Source organism: Homo sapiens, chromosome X (assembly GCF_000001405.40).
Source record: "Homo sapiens chromosome X, GRCh38.p14 Primary Assembly".
Classification (NCBI taxonomy): domain Eukaryota; kingdom Metazoa; phylum Chordata; class Mammalia; order Primates; family Hominidae; genus Homo; species Homo sapiens.
In genome coordinates, this window is record NC_000023.11 from 21,926,112 (window position 1) to 21,942,809 (window position 16,698).

A 16,698-nucleotide genomic window follows, 5' to 3' on the forward strand; every position below is an offset into this window, starting at 1 on the left:
AAGTGTGAACTGTTTTAAATGTAAAACGAAGGCAGAATTGGGTGGAGAGGTAGAGATTATTACTGCTGTGCCTGGAATAGAGAAACAGAAACAGGAAGAAGGTATGTTGCAAATTTGAGGCAATTTGCCAAGGCAAAGCAAAACAAAAAAAGCTGTTTGTTGTGTAAAAATTGTTCAAAGATAACAAAGCGGACAATATTAAGAGACATTTTCAGCAAATACAGAGAGAATTTGATAACAAAAGTGAAAAAAATCAATAAAAGTAGTTGTCGGAATTCAAAATTGAATGTCCAATAAAAATTGTTTAAAAAGTGATAACAGGCTCTGAGCTTGGAACTTTGGCTAGCTTTATACTGGCTTGGATTCTTGCACAAAAAAGGAAAACAGTTTTAGATGGCAATAGTAAAAGAAATTATTTCAGTTATGGAAATTTTGTTTAAAAGTTGTAACGAAAAGACTTTAAAATATATTTTACAAAAAATGAAAGCTCTTCAATTAAACCACAAAATAATTGCCTGTAGAATACAAGACCAGTATCCAAGATTAATTAATTTAAAATTCGAAAAATTGCAACGATTTTAGCTTTAGATGATTCATGTGATCTACGACACTGCCCAATTAATACTTTGGGTATGTTTTGACTCAAAGGACTCCCATATTTACAAAGAAATGCCAATTCATACCTTTAAAACCTTATAGCAAAAATTTTTTAAATCTTTTACATCTCTCAAGGAAGAACTTCAGTTAGATATGAAAAAAAATCACAATGAATACTGCTCAGCCATGTTAGGTCAAAATTCCAGATGTATTGGAATTTTAAAATAGGAGTCTGATGTTTTCCTGGTGACTTCATATCACTGTATGACACATACCGAAAATATTTGGGCTCCCTTCTCTGAAACAGACTCTGTGAAAGGAGTCATGAATGCTGTTGTTAACATTTTTCAGCATATACGTGCAAATGCTGTGTGTGACTCATCACCAGTTTCAAGAACTGTTGAAAGAAATTAAAGACAATGAATTTACTCTTGTGTTCATTGCCAGTGCTCATTGGTTAAGCCATAGAGTTTTACCAAGCTGTTAACTCCAATTCAAATTTTCTTGAAACAAAAGGAGTGCTTGCCAAATATACAGCAATCAAAGAAAAAAAATAGCAATGTGATTTATGTGTTTTCTCACGGATATCACACTGCATAGGAACAAGATAAATTTAAAACTCCAAGAAAAGGAAAAGCTTATTTGTGACTTAGCTAGACAGTTAAAGGATTAATGTTGAAATTGAACTTTTTTGTGATACAAGTCGATAATAATGATTTTATACCTTTTTCTAACATGAATCAAATATGCATAAGACTTTATTAATAGACAGTTATGTAAATTGGCTGCAAAAACTATAGAAAATTTTAAAGAATGCTTTGTTTATATTGATAAACTTAGAACTGCTTCTCAAATCATGCAATACCCCTTTGAATTCAATGTTAATAATATGGAGTTGACACAAATTAGTGAATTTACTTAACTTGGACAGACATGATTTTGAAACTGACATCCTTTCTCTTCAAAGTAAAATCACTTCTTCTAAAAAAATAAGCTAGTTTTGTCAATGAGGATGCAAATATTAAAGGAAAATAATTTTTGCTACTCAATTCAGTTACAGGAAAACTTTTAGGTATGTTAAAACACCTTGGATATGTGAATCCACCTTTCTTCCAAATGCAAATTTTATGAAACCTAAATACAGAAGAAGCACTTCCCGTGAAAATCTAGCATCTGAAGATGTGCTGTGAGTGTAAAATACTCATTGTATTTCAAAGGCTTAGGATGAAAAAGACAATCTAAAATATCTCATTAACAATGTTTTTACATATTGAAAGAATAATATTTTAAATACATTAGGTAAAATCTTATGCATTATTAACAGCAATCTATCTGGTTTCTTTTTTTCTTTTTCTTTTTCTTTTTTTTTTTTTTTTTGAGATGGAGTCTCACTCTGTCACCCAGGCTGGAGTGCAGTGGCACGATCTCAACTCACTGCAACCTCCACCTCCCGGGTTCAACCAATTCTCCTGCCTCAGCCTCTTGAGTAGCTGGGATTACAAGCGTGCACCATCGCACCCAGCTAATTTTTGTGTTTTTAGTAGAGACGGGGTTTCACCGTGTTGGCAGGGCTGGTCTCAAACTCCTGACCTCAAGTGATCCACCTGCCTCAGACTCTCAAAGTGCTGGGATTACAGGTGTGAACCACCGCGCCTGGCCTTATCTGGCTTCTTTCTACCTATTTTTTAATGTGGCTACTAGTAAACTTAAAATTGTATCTGTGGCTCAATTGGACAGCACTGCTCTGCATTAGGCAGCGTAGATTTACTTTTTAAATAATACTCCAGCGGGACACAGAAAGACCAGAGAGTAATCTTTTTATTACTTAATATGTAATCTTATTTCTGAATTTTGGGTAACTTTTCTTAACATTATTAGCTCATGAAAGACCATGCTGGCCGGGCACGGTGGCTCACGCCTGTAATCCCAGCACTTTGGGAGGCCGAGGCAGGCGGATCACGAGGTCAGGAGTTTGAGACCAGCCTGGCCAAAATGGTGAAACCCCATCTCTGCTAAAAATACAAAAAATTAGCCGGGCATGGTGGCAGGCACCTGTAATCCCAGCTACTCGGGAGGCTGAGGCAGGAGAATCGCTTGAACCCAGGAGGCGTAGGTTGCAGTGAGCCGAGACTGTGCCACTTGCACTCCAGCCTGGGCAACAGAGTGAGACTCCGTCTCAAAAAAAAGAGAAAGACCATGCTATGTCTAAGACTTACAGCAACTTAGCAAGTTTAGAGTCCTGTGTCTTTGGAGGAATAATAGGAGTTGAGTGACAAAAGGCAGGCTAAAGCTAGATCATGAGATGTCTTTAAGCCACATGTAGCATTTGATCTTTATTCTGTAGGCAACTGGCAGCCACTGAAGAGTTTTACCGAGGGAGTTGTTGCATTATTAGATTTGTATTCTGGAAAAGTAACAGTTGAAGAAAGCAAGGCATGAATTGCAAGGAGCCAATTATTATTGTACAGGATAGAAAGAATAAAGGCCCAAATTTAGATAATTAGAAAGAGGGCATGGGGGAAATGATGAGATGAATTTAAGGAAGATTTGGTGTGGGAAAGGAAGATTTGGTGATAGGGTGTGGGAAATGAAGGAAAGGAATCAAGAATGAGTCCAAAGTGTCTGATGTGGTCAGCTCCGTGGGCTGTGGTACAGAGTCTGTTCTTATTCGCTATTTATGAGCGTGTAAATGTCTCAAGTTTGAGATTGCGCAAGAAAGACCAAGCAGGGGAAGAAGGTAAAGAGTTCAATTTGGCCATTTGACTTTGAAATTGTAGAGGGTAAAGAGGAACAATAAATAGGTCCAAAGCTCAGGGGAAGGAGTAGGAGCCAGGGATGGAGATTTGGGAATCTGCATACAGGTGGCTAGAACTGTAGGCATAGATGAGATCACCTGGAGAAAGAGGTTTTCCACCTTGCCGACACCTTAGAATCACTTGGAGGCATTTAAAAATAACCCAATGCCTGGGACATACCACAGACAAATCAGGGATGAGACCCAAGCATGACAATCTTTTAAAGCTTTCCAGTTGATTCTAATATGCAGCCAGATTTGAGAACCATTGGTACAGGGAAAAGAGAGAAGACGTGCCAAGGATGGAAGCTGTGAGAAGCTCAACATTTACAGAAAAAACATGGAGACAGGAAGAAGTTGGTGAAGGCACCATCAAATTGAAGAAGCAGGGGGAACCAGAAGGTAGTGATGTCATGGAAGCCACAGGAAGAGGAGGTTTCAACAATCTATTATAAAAACAAAGATCAAGTAATGAAAGAACTGAGAAAAGGTCAACAGGGATTGCTGAACGGGATGAAAGCCCAATTGCATTGAAGAACACACACACACACACACACACACACACACACACACACACACACAGAGTATATATGAGTCAGCACCAGTGTGAGGTTTTCCATTATCCTGAACAACAATTGAGAAGGACAGGAGAAGGCAAAAGGCTGGATTGGTCCAGGGTTGGGAGTTTGCAGTGTCAAAGGATGAGGGATTGAAGAGTTGAAGTCACATCAGACATGATGTGACTGATGTGACCAACCATGGGGAGAGAACTAAAATGAGAAGGTGAGGGATCAAGTGAGGAGGAAATGAGGTGGTCAGGGGACTGAAGGTCCTGATGTGGTCACAGAACGGGTATAGCACACATATTGTGAGTGGCCTCATTCCCTTTACACCAGCTGCCTCCTCCTCCTAACTCCTCCACTTCCTCCCTCCCACCCTCGATCTCCTCACCCACAAGTGCATCCAGAATGATTGGTGCTGAGGAGGTCAAAGAATTGAAATAGGGCACTGGCTGCCTCATGCACAGAAAAGCCAAAACTCTACCCAGGATGAGGCAGGCATTGAGGTAACGGCTGCATCAAAGTCATCAATGAAGGTGGGAGGGTGACCTAGAGGCCTGCTAGAGTGGCTGAATGGGGCATGAATCTCCCAAGGGAGGAATGTGTTAGTTTTTTGTTGTTATTTTTTAAACTGAGTCTGTGAACAATGGGCTGAAAGTATAAAAAAGGCAACCTTCCTTTTTTCTCCTCAACCCTGCACTTTAAAATGTAGAATGTTTCTCTTAAGTCAAACTTGCCCATTAACAAAAGATTTAAACATGCCTTAGACTCTGCTGTGTCATGTACATTTCAGGAGCATTGCTTTTTTTTTCTTTTTCTTTTGTAATATTCTTTTATCTTCTATACATCTATTGTTTTTTGATAACCTTTAATTTTGATATAGTTTTAAAGGCGTGCACAAAATGTTGCAAAAAAAGTACAAAAAATTTTGTATATATACCTTTACCCAGCTTTGACAATTGTTGACATTTTGCTCCATTTGCATTATCAGTCTCTTTCTCTCTCTTTTTATTTGTACATGCATATTTTTCCCTCAAACCATGTGAAAGTAAATTGGAAACATATTGCCCCTTTATACAAAATGCTTCGGTGTGTAATTCCTAAGAACAGGGACATTCTCTTACATAACCACAGTACACTGATCAAAGTCAAGAAATTTAACATTGACACAATGCTCTTGTCTAATCCACAGTCCTTCCTCTGCTTTGGTCAACTGTCCCAATAATGGCTTTTATGGCTTTTATGGTTTTTTTTTTTTCTGGTCTAGGACATTGTGATTTAGTTGTCACATCTCTATAATCTCTTTTCATCTAGAACAGTTCCTTACCCTTTCTTTGTATTTTTTTACCTTGACATTTTGTGAAGAGCATAGACTATTAATTTTGTGGAAGTTCCCTTAGTTTGAATTTGTCTGATATTTTGCCATGATTAGATTCAGGTTATGCATTTTTGGCAAGAAGATTACAGAAAGGATGTTGAGTTCTCAGTGCATCACAGCAGAAGGCACATGGTGTCTGTTTGGCCCAACTGGTGATCATCACACCATTGCTTTGTCATAGCAAAGGAAAGTTCTTTTAGCTTTATTTTTTCAATTTGGAAGGCATCTTGCATTGCAGCAAAATTTTCTTTTTTACACAAGCATAACTAGAGGCTTTTAAATTATTTTTGATTAATTGCAAATAACCAAAGAGCAATAACCTAGGTTGCTTTTTTTTTTTTGAAGAAGAAGCAAGTTTAAAAAACTTGTGGAGTTTTACTGTCAACAAGTATACTTACACTGAAACAAAATCTATTACTTTCAGAGAAAAATGAGAAAACTATACATTTGTAAATAAGCTTGATAAAATGCAATTTAAGATTATTAAAGGACAAAGTTCCAGACACAATGTACATATATATGTGTGTGTGTGTGTATATATATATATATATATATATATATGTCTTGAAACAGGGTCTCACTCTGTCACTCAGGCTGGAGTGCAGTCACACAATCATGGCTCACTGGAGCCTCCTGGGCTCAAGCAGTCCTCCCACTTCAACCTCCCAAGTAGCTGGGACTACAGGCCCATGCCACCACGCCTGGCTACTTTTTGTATTTTTTGTAGATGCCCGGTTTTTCTATGTTACCCAGGCTGGTCTCAAACTCAAGGGCTCAAGCAGTCCGTCCACCTTAGCCTCCCAAAGTGCTGGGCGTGAGCCACCGTGCCTGGCCAAATGAACATATTTTTAAAATACTGATATGAATATATCCTTAAAGTACAAGGCCTTTATAACTAACATTGTAATATGCCAGGCAATACAATATAACCAGAAGAGACATATGGCTTAGTGGAGAGGAGTGAATCCTAGCAGTGATCGCTACGTAATGATTTTAGGCAGATACTCAAGAGTCTGACAGAGGGCAGTCATGGGACTGGTTGTGCCACGGGGAAGAAGTTGAAAATGGAGTTTCAAAAGATTTGAAAATCAGAGTTGGGTCAACACGCATAAATTTACTTGCTTTGAAGACGTTGAAATGGGATCCAGGAACAGGAAAAAAGAATATTTATTGTTTTGCCTTTGCATGCCAAAATGTAATCTCTCTTTTTCTTCTAGACTTTCCTTAAAATAACAGTTGTCTGCATGTAGAATGAGTGTGTTTTAAAAGAGCCATTCAGGGCTTTTTTCGATGCTCATTTCCTGTACTGAGTAGCAACATGATGACAGACTAGAAATTCTACTGACTGAGTCAGACTGACCCTGAAGCCAAGCCTCACTCTGCCACAGACTGGCATGAGGCCTTGAGCAAGTCACTTGACCTCGGTGTCTCAATACTGTATTTAAATGAGAGAATGAACCTTGCGGGGTTTGGAAGGTTAGAAATAACACATATAAATAACTCATAGTACTTTACAAATGCCGTGGTCTATCCTAGGTATTCAATAACGGAATTTAGACGTGAGGACAATTTCATGAAAAGTTTAGTTTAATGAAAAGAGCTCTGGTCTGGGAACCAGGACACCAGGGTTCTGGTCCCTTTCTAGTTTATTTAACTAGTAAGCTCCTAACCTTGGCCTCAAACGTTTTGGACTGTAGTCCCATTAAGCAAGGAGTGTTGGCGAGAGAGAAACAGGTCAAGTTCTTGGGGAGCTGGCAGGGAGCTAACATGGTACCATTAATACAAGTTGGGCTGTTTTTCACTGGCAGGCTGAACACTGTGCTGTGGAAACACGGAGGTGAGCGAATGAGTGCGCAGCTCTGCCTGGGCCAGGGGGCGCCACTTGAACTGGGCCTGCTTGAATGCTCCTGTATGGATTTTTCCACTGGAGAAAGGAGGGTGTTCCAGGTACCCAAGATTTAGCAGGTGAAGAGACAGGGTGCTGCCACCGTGCAGAATGGTGCTTCACATCAAATGCCACTGCAAGCAGCTTCTGAGACTGCCCCTGACTATTAAGTTGTATCAAATACATGTTAAGTAGGCCAGGTGCGGTGGCTCATGCCTGTAATCCCAAGCACTTTGGGAGGCTGAGGTGGGTGGATCACTTGAGGTCAGGAGTTCAAGACCAGCCTGGCCAACATGGTGAAAACCCATCTCTACCTAAAATACAAAAATTAGCCAGGCATGGTGGTGTGCATCTGTAATCCCAACTACTCTGGGGCTGAGGCCAGAGAATCGCTTGAACTCGGGAGGCGGAGGTTGCAGTGAGCCAAGATCATGCCACTGCACTCTAGCCTGGGTGACAGAGGAGACTCTGTCTCAAGAAACAAACAAACAAAAAATAGAAATAAAGATACGTAAAAAGTAAGGAGTCCTGAAGGAGTGTGACACCTGCATAACAAAATCTTCAATGGAGCTGCTATTTAATGAATACTAGTCATGTGTCAGACACTGCCCTCAGTGTTTGCCAGGTATCTATTCATTTAATTCTCACAATAACTTGATGAGGTGTTTATTACCTCGATGAGGTAATTATTAGCTCCATTTTAGAGAGAGGGAAGGAAGCACAGAGAGGCTGATGAACCTGTACACTGTCACACAGCTAGTAATAGGTAGGGGTAGGAATTTCACCCCAGAAGTTGTTTGGTGGAATTAGGGAATAGCTTCAGAGAGCAGGGAGAGAGGACACCCTCCTCCAATCGCACACACATTGATGGGGACGGGGGTGCCTACTGGTGGGAGGTAAGCAGACTCATACACCTGAGGTTCGTGGAGTCCTAAGAAAAGTGGAGACACTTTGGGACAACTAGGCAGGGCGATCAGAGTCAGCAAGGTGAGGGGGTAAACAGCCTGACTCCTGAGCCACCCGCTTGGGTTCAAGTCCTGGGTCTCCAACTTTCTAGCTACCTAACCTCTTTGTGCCTCAGTTGACCCATATGTTAAATGAGGATAATTTCACCTACCTCTTAGAACTATTGTAAGCATGAAATAATTTTGTTTTGGAAGCTGAAGAAGGTATCAAAGCAGGTAAGTGTTAGAGGAGCTGGCCTCACCTTCCTTGTGGCCCAAGAAAGATATTTACCCCAGGGCATTCTATAGGCTTCACTGGTGAGATGTCTTTCCTCTTAGGCCATCAAATATTTGGAATTTTTTTACTTGCCCAGTCATGATGGCTCACATCTGTAATCCCAGCATCGTTGGGAGGCCAAGGTGGGAAGATCTCAAGCCTAGGAGTTCCAGACCAGCCTGGGCAAGATAGTGAGACTTCGTCTCTACAGAAAATAAACAAAATTAGCCTGGCATGGTGGTGCGTGCTTGTAGTGCCAGCTACTTGGGAGGCTGAGGTGGGAGGATCAATTGAACTCAGGAGTTTGAGGCTGCAGTGAGCCAAGATCGCACCACTGCACTCCAGCCTGGGTGACAGAGCAAGATCCTGTCTCAAGAAAAAAAAAAAAAAAAAAAAAAAGAATTTTTTGACTTAAACTTTGTGGTGAAATGAGAGAAGACCTGAACTTAGGGGTAGTGGTGGTCTTGGGGCCAAGACAGAGAAAAACGTTTCTTTCAGTCTCCACAGGCACTTGTAACACTTGTAACACTTGTAAAGTGCTAGGCCTCTGGGTTATAGGATTATCCCCACCTGTCCACACATCTCTGGGAAAACCACAACCAGGTAGCTGGTTTCCCAGCAGCCTTCATTTTTGCTTTTTTTTTGGCCAACACCTCACTTCAATTCCCTCCCATTAGGCATTTACCTGAAATTTTTGGGTGATGAAGTCTGCTTATTAAAAATTACTATACAGCTTTACCTTTCAAAGTTGGTGTGACTATAAGCTGCTTCTTTTTTTTTTAATTGAATTAAAATGAAATAACATCGAATTAGCCACTTGAAAGTGAACAATTCAGCGGCATTTAGCACATTCACAACGTTGTGCAACCATCACATCTAGTTCCGAGACATTATCGTCACCCCAAAAGGAAACCCTTACCTATACAGCAGTCACTTCCCCTGTCCCCCCCGCTTCCTGTCTCTATGGATTTACCTATTCTGGACATTCATATAAATGGAATCATACAACATATGGTTTTTTGTGTCTGGCTTCTTTACCTTGGCATGATGTTTCTGAGGTTCATCCATGTTGTAGTATACATCAGGACTTCATTCTTTTCATGGCTAGATAATATTCCATTGTATGGCTCTACTACATTTTGTTTATCCATTCATCTATTGATGGACATTTGGATTGTTTCCACCTTTGAGTATTGTGAATGACGGAATAATGTTGCTATAAACATTCGTGTTTTTGTTTGAACACCTGTTTTCAATTCTTTTGTGTATATACCCAAGAGTGGAGTTGCTAGATCATACAGTTACTCTGTTTCACCTTTCAATAAACCGCCAAACTATTGTCCACAGCAGCTGCACCGTTTTACATTCCCGCCAGCAATGTACGAGGGATCCAATTTCTCCGCATCCTTACCAACACTTATTTTCTGGCTTTTAAAATGTGTTTCTTTATTTACTCACATATAGCCATCCTTGTGGACGTGGAGTGAGATCTATTGTGATACAAACCGCTTTTTGATTTGACAGTGGTTCTCTTGGCTTTACACTGGAATCTCCTGGGTATTTATTTATTTATTTATTTATTTATTTATTTACAATCCCAATGCCCAGGCTGTACCTGGGGCCAATTTCATTAGACACTAGGGCTAGCCCCAGGCAGTGGCAGTATGTTTAAAGCTCCCAAGGTGATTCCAGTGTGCAGCTGAAATTGAGAATCGCTGTAAAGATCCTAGCCCCCTATTGCTTACATACTTTTTTTCTTTTTTTTTTTTTTTTGAGATGGAGTCTCACTCTGTCACCCAGGCTGGGGTGCAGTGGCCCGATCTTGGCTCACTGCAACCTGTGTCTCCCGGTTCAAGCGATCCTCCCATTTCAGCGTCCTGAGTAGCTGGGATTACTGGTGCCTGCCACCACGCCTGGCTAATTTTTGTGTTTTTAGTAGAGATGGGATTTCACCATGTTGGTCAGGCTGGTCTTGAACTCCTGACCTCAGATGATCTGCCCGCCTTGGCCTCCCAAAATGCTGGGATTACAGGCGTGAGCCACCACGCCTGGCCTTACATACTCTTTTTAATCAAAATCTTAAATAGTGTTAAAATAGCTGGGTGAGTCCCACATTCATCTGAAAAAATGGCGGGGAGTGATCCAGATCTTTGTCAGCCACTCTAACCCTAATAGCTAATGCCAAGTTTTTAAGAGGGGAAGTGATTTCACCACAGCGGCACACAGGGGCCAGGGAGGCAGAATGTCTCCAAGGGTCCCAAATGAACTGGTGAAAAAAAAATTATGTTAAAAAAAAAAAAGAAACAAAAGGCTTGATGACCAGGGCAGCTATTAAGGACTGCCAACCCCCATCAGCTCCCTCACCTGCCCTGCAATGAAAGTTTGGGACAGCAGCATGATGGGTGGCCTTACAGTGCAGGCCAATAGCCTATGGATATTTCCAATTAGCACCTCAGCTACCCAGCCACTGCCACCACCACCACCACCACCACCTCCTCCTTTTTAACAGAGGGCTCTTTTCTGCTTTTGACTTCCTTCTTCCCAGTACACACTTGCTCACTGTGTAGGACAATGTGGCTCTTTCTCTGAATTTTTAGAAACTCTGTTGCTGATGTCCAGCTTGGCCTGTCTGCTCAGAAGCAAGTGGGCCCATTTGAAAGGGAGGTAGGGATAGGACTAATACTTAGTACCAGCATTTTGCTAAGTGGGTCACCAAAGCTCTCACCCTAAGCCTGGACTTCATCTTGTTGTCTATATTGTCACTGCACTGTAGTCACACACTCCCAGGAACACACCTAGAGTTGAACAAGCAGTTTTCTTCTCCTTGCAGGCGGGGAAAACACATACCATGGGAATAGGGGCAGTGATGGGGCAGGGGCTCTCAATAAGAGGGTGCGAGAAAGGATGACTTAGAGGATTTGCACCTGGGTATGTTAGAGGCACCTGACAGCAATAACCTGTCAGGTGAGAATGACCCTGTATGTCAAGTGCACCTGAATGTGTGTTTGGAGTTCCCAGCATGGCCAACCAGAGAGTCATTCCTTATCTATGGGGAACATCTGAACCTCTGGCCTGGCCAAAGCAGTGTGGGTCCTGAAGCGGATTGAGGCCCTTAGTTTAGGGTAAATGAAGGTTGCCAGGTTGTTAGGGGGAGGGTGTTCTCCTGTTGAGCCCACTGCCACTGGATCGTCCCCGTATGTAAGTTACCAATAAACTCTATGTCTTTGAGTCTCTTCTTTGGCCGCTTGAACCTGGTGCCTTCCCTACTGAAGTTAATAGGCATCTGGCATGACACTGTGTCAGGTGGTTTTGGGGAGCGTTTAGGGAAGCCAGGTGTTGCTCTGGATTGGGAGCTGGTGCAGGGGGCTGGGGTGGGGGGAATTCTGTGATTGGATGGTTTAATAAATGTCCTCTAGAAGCAGAGAAAATTAGAGCCAGGCTACAGCTGTGGTTGGTAAAGAAGTAGCAGTCACCCATATTAGCCAGGACTGGGGGGAGAGGTGGTGTTTGGTCATATTTGTGGTTTGGACAAGGCTTATGTTTTCTCTATATTCAGACATGATTACAGAGTGGTCTTGTTTGTGTTTTGTCCCACCCTGGTCATAGAGTGGCCTTGCCTGATGTTGGTGTTTTCGGGAGTTGTTTCTGTTCAACAGGACATCCAGGCACAGCTGTGAGTGCCTGGCCAGCTCCGTGAAGGCAGGACTGCTTTACTCTTTCTCAGTCTTCCTTTTCGGGCAAGAGTAGTCCAGCGGCAGGCTGCAGGACATGAATCCACGATATCCACATTTTCACCATTGGCAAGACTGTTTCAAGAATGCAGTCTCTAGTCGGACTAGGGTAAATCTAGTCTCTGCTGAGTCTTTTGTTGCAGGACGAGTTGCTGAAGTGTCTGATAACAGCTGTGCAGTATTTAAGACTCTGCACAGGATCCACTGGTCGACTATAACACAATTACCACAAACAAAATGATTATTAGTCCTGAAACAGGCCTGGAAGCCAAGGGCCTAGATTATAAAACTCAGGTAATGAGAACATGTTCCTGAATCCAAATAGGTACTCACGGCCCAATTGGAGGTGTTTAAAAGAGGCCTCGAGCAGGATTATGTTACTGGTAAGTAGGACGTGCATTGGGAACATCCTTGCAATAACTCCTAATGTTATCCCAACAATGTAGGTTCCATATTGAGGCCAATTTAACTCTGATGCTGTGCTAACATCATGAAGCATTTGTTGTGGTTTTTTATTTTTCGTTTTTTGAGACTGTCTCGCTCTGTTGCCCAGTCTGGAGTGCAGTGGCATGATCGCGGCTCACTGCAACCTCCACTTCCTAGGTTCAAGTGATTCTCATAGCTCAGCCTCCCGAGTAGTTGGGATTACAGGTGTGCACCACCAAGCCCAGCTAATTTTTGTATTTTAGGTAGAGACGGGATTTTGCCATGTTGACCAGGCTGGTCTCCAACTCCTGGCCTCAAGCAATCCGCCTACCTCGGCCTCCCGAAGTGTTGGGATTACAGGCATGAGCTGCCATGCCCAGCCAATGAAACATTTGTTAAACTCCACTTTTGCTATGGCTGTCTGATAAGTTAAGCAAAAGCATCTCAGGTTTTTCATCTCTGCTTTGTACCTTGCAGGAAACAAGGCGAGGCACAAGTGCTGGGGATGAGATTTCAAGCCCGAGCCCGAGGGCCACCTGTGCTGCCAGACACAAGCTGCAGAGCATAACCAGCTACGCAGTTTGCAGGCCAAGGGCAAAATAAAAACACGGGGCCCCTTGTTCGAGAGTTAAGAATTTCAAGATGGCAACAGCAGAGAATTAAACCAAGTGCAGGGCCCTTTTGATGTGAGGCCCACACTGGTGCTGAGTGGGGAAAGGCACACCTGAGGCCCATGGAGCCCTACTGCTCCTGCAACATGCAGGACAAAGACAACTCTATTGTCAGTGACCTGACTCCAGGGGAATGGCAAGAAGTGAAGAACATCCCAGGAAGAAAGAGGAGCTGCAGACTGACATAGCTAACTGAAGGATGAGAATTGCAATAGCTAACAAAATTGAGAATCTAGGACACAGAGAAGAATGGTAAGACATGCAGAATAACAAACAGGTGGCCATGGGTAGACAAAAATTAATGCAGGTACTAGAAAAAGATTCAGTTCTTAACAGAGAAAGGTCTGTTCAACAGACCCTTGTTGAACACTTGTGAAGACACTGCCCAGTTTTTGTAGAAAGGTGAAGAACTCAGCAAAACAGCCGTTGCCTGGGGGAAGAGGTGAGTTTAATATCCAGGTTCTTCGTTGCTTTTGTGGAGGTACATGAGTTCATGGATTTAAATTTTGTCTAACCATTACAGCAATTCCTGTGGCCGTGAGAGGCACAAAAGCCTGACACGATGATGGAGGCATTTGCCCAGGGATATTGTCAGTGCAGTAAAGAATAATTTTAGTTCAGACGCTCATGCTGTCTCCCCTTTGCCATCATTTTGTTGAACAGCAGCCATAACCCCAGTGTCAAAAATAAGCCCCCCGCAAAGGCTATTGCCATTAATAGAGGCGCCAGTGATGGAGGAGTCCTGCTAGACAAGCAACTCCGGAGTCTGCAGTTTCCTAATTCAATATTAACAACAATGCTGTCCTCTTACTGGCTTCTCCCTCATTTTATTTTGCGTGAAACTGTGGATAACGTAAATGCCCAAGCGCTTTCTATTCAGTCCTCAAATGCAAAGCAGACCCTTGCTAATAATGGTAATAATCCGAATGGGTTTAACTGCAGCATTGTAAGAAAAGGCAGGCAGTACTCTTAGACTACAGGGGTGGATCTCATCATTTGATTTTCCCGACTCCGCCAGGAAATAAGAGGGGCCTTGGCTTGGGGAGAGGTGTGTGGGGAGGCGTAAGGGGTGGGCCCCCCGGAAATCCTGCTGCGCTGTTTAAACCTAAGGTGACCTAACGGATGGCGGGAGCGGCCGCGCGAGCCTTGGAGCAGGGCGCGGCCATTGGTGACGCACGCCGGGGAGCACGGCGCCCACGTTTCCACCATTAGCGAGGCCTCACACCCGGCGCTCCAAGTTCGGGGCTGGAGGCGTCCCGGCTTCCTCCCTCCCGGAGCGGGACCGGCCCCGCCCCCGCGCCCCGGGTCGCTCCCGGCGGCCCCTCCCACCTCCTAGTCCTGGCCTCCCCGGGCGCAGCACACTCCCAGCCGGCCGCAGCCTGACACGCCGCGCGGCCCCCCAGTCTCCCGCGGCTGCTCCCCCAGGCATGGCACAGGGCCTCGCCTCACTATGGCAGCAGCACGGCACAGCACGCTCGACTTCATGCTCGGCGCCAAAGGTGAGGGCGCCCGCCGCCACCTGCGTGGCCATCCCCGCCGCTCCCGCCGCCTGGCGGGCTGGGGCGGGGGTCGGGCGTGGCGTGCGCCGCGGGCCGAACAATGCGGGCGGCCCGCGCGGCGCCGCACTCTCCCGGACTGCCACGCACAGCGCGCTGCGGGGCCGCGTGCACCGGCGGTCGGGCGGAGGCCGCGCTCCTGCTGGCTCCGCGCTCCGTCCCGGCCGCAGCTCGGGGCCTGCAGGGGCAGTCCCGGGTGCCCGCCGGCCGCGCCGCCCTTCCGGGCCCTGGCCGTCCACCCGCGCTCCCACGCGGGCTCGCCGCCTTCGCGCTCCCGCTCGGGGAGTCCCCGGGCTGCCGGGCGCGGGCGGACCCCCCATGGGACGAGGGTTGCAGGGACTGCGGCGGAGCGAGGCGTGACCCGCGCGGCGAGCCCGGGCTGGGGGCGTGCGCCGAGCGGGGCTGCCCGCGCGACCTTTTCCTGTTCTTGCAGGCGGGTAAATTTCCCTCTTGGGGGCGGGGGTTTCCCCTCGTAGGGAGCTGGGGCTGGGGAAAGGTCTGCGGACGCGCAGCGCTTGCAGAATTCTCAGCCGACTGCGTAGGAGACGGATCCCCCGGAAAGGAACTGGGGGACGGGAAAAGGAAACGATTATTATTATTGGGGGTGGGGAGGCATGAGGTCTGGGCGCGGGAATCGTTTACACCCCGAATCGGGGAGCTATCAAAAGACAGCCGGCCGGGCGCGGTGGCTCACGCCTGTAATCCTAGCACTTTGGGAGGCCGAGGCGGGCGGATCACGAGGTCAGGAGTTCGAGACCAGCCTAGCCAACATGGTGAAACCCCGTCTCTTCTAAAAATACAAAAATTAGCCGGGCGTGGTGGCACGCGCCTGTAATCCCAGCTACTCGGGAGGCTGAGGCAGGACAATCGCTTGAACCTGGGAGGCGGAGGTTGCAGTGAGCCAAGATCGCGCCATTGCACTCCAGCCTGGGCGACAGAGCAAGACCCTGTCTCAAAAAAAAAAAAAAAAAAAAAAAAAAAAAAAAAAAAAAACCCGACCAGAAGAGAGAGGCCTGCTAAAGTCGGAACTGTGTGCAGGAAATTTGAAGGGGAAGGATAATTTGCAGGCTTCTTTTCTCGGGGTGCCTCTGTCGTGGGGGGTGGGAGTCGCGGGAAGGATAGAACTGCCCTTTCTTTTTCTGGTGGCTTTTAAACCTGTGACTGCCGCAGACTTGAATCTGCACTTCCCATAGGTTCCACTTGGAGTGTCTCGCTCATACCTTGCTTTTCCCACTGTTTTCCTCGAATTGGATAGAGCAGGCTTTTCTCTTACCATTTTTAACACTGTTCCTTTCTTTCTGAATTTCTGAGTACTCACTTTGCATTTTCTCCCGCAAATTTAAAGGATCTCCGAAGGCACAAGATCTAGTGAAGACTGAGGATTTGGAGCAACACCTGGGTTTGAGTCTGGCTTCTTCCTGATGGGCTCTGCGTGTGGCCTTGGGTTTATGTTAACCTTTCTGAGCCTTCCCTGTCCATTAAAAAGAAAAAAAAAAGTGTACACCTCTTCGGGCTTTTACTCTTAAGGGGGTAGCTGTGGAGCACACTGTAGGGTTTTTAAGCAATGTCAGTGTATTTAGGTGGTCTGAAGTGACTTAGAGAAAACAAAGCATGTTAATTTTAGTTCCCACATTTCTTAGGTGAGGATGGTAGGGCATGGAGACTGCTAGAGATGAAATGGTGCTTGAGTGGTGGAGCTGAAGAGCCAAGGTTTCATTAATAACCCTGCCAGCCTTAGGGCTGAATGGTTAATGAAAGCTCTAGCATACTGAATTTAGCGGTGAGGAGAAATAGTGTATTAGGGTCACCCAGCTAGTAAGGGGTGAGTCTGGGAAGTGTCCCTGTTGTGAGCACCTTGTGAACACTCACCTGTATTTAT

At 45.0% G+C, this 16,698-nt stretch overlaps 1 protein-coding gene and 1 pseudogene across 3 annotated transcripts in view, besides 2 other annotated features; both read left to right on the forward strand.

Moving 5' to 3' along the window:
• CYTH1P1 (CYTH1 pseudogene 1) lies at positions 13,368-14,026 on the forward strand (annotated as a pseudogene).
• Positions 14,391-14,860: a silencer, noted in NCBI's record as "silent region_20700". NCBI's record gives its function as "represses an Ori minimal core promoter by ATAC-STARR-seq in GM12878 lymphoblastoid cells {active_cell/tissue: GM12878}" and the evidence as "EXISTENCE:reporter gene assay evidence [ECO:0000049][PMID:35858748]".
• Positions 14,598-16,698, forward strand: part of SMS (spermine synthase) — a 54,129-nt gene continuing 52,028 nt past the window's right edge. For 2 of the 3 annotated variants that reach the window (NM_004595.5, NM_001258423.2), the window contains exon 1: positions 14,598-14,762. In NM_004595.5, coding sequence (NP_004586.2) covers positions 14,714-14,762 — 49 coding nt within the window. In that variant the 5' untranslated portion in view covers positions 14,598-14,713. Of the gene's footprint in view, positions 14,763-14,885; positions 15,257-16,698 lie in introns of those variants that run through there. The other variant, XM_011545568.3, reaches the window with a different exon arrangement.
• Positions 15,051-15,280: a silencer, noted in NCBI's record as "silent region_20701". NCBI's record gives its function as "represses an Ori minimal core promoter by ATAC-STARR-seq in GM12878 lymphoblastoid cells {active_cell/tissue: GM12878}" and the evidence as "EXISTENCE:reporter gene assay evidence [ECO:0000049][PMID:35858748]".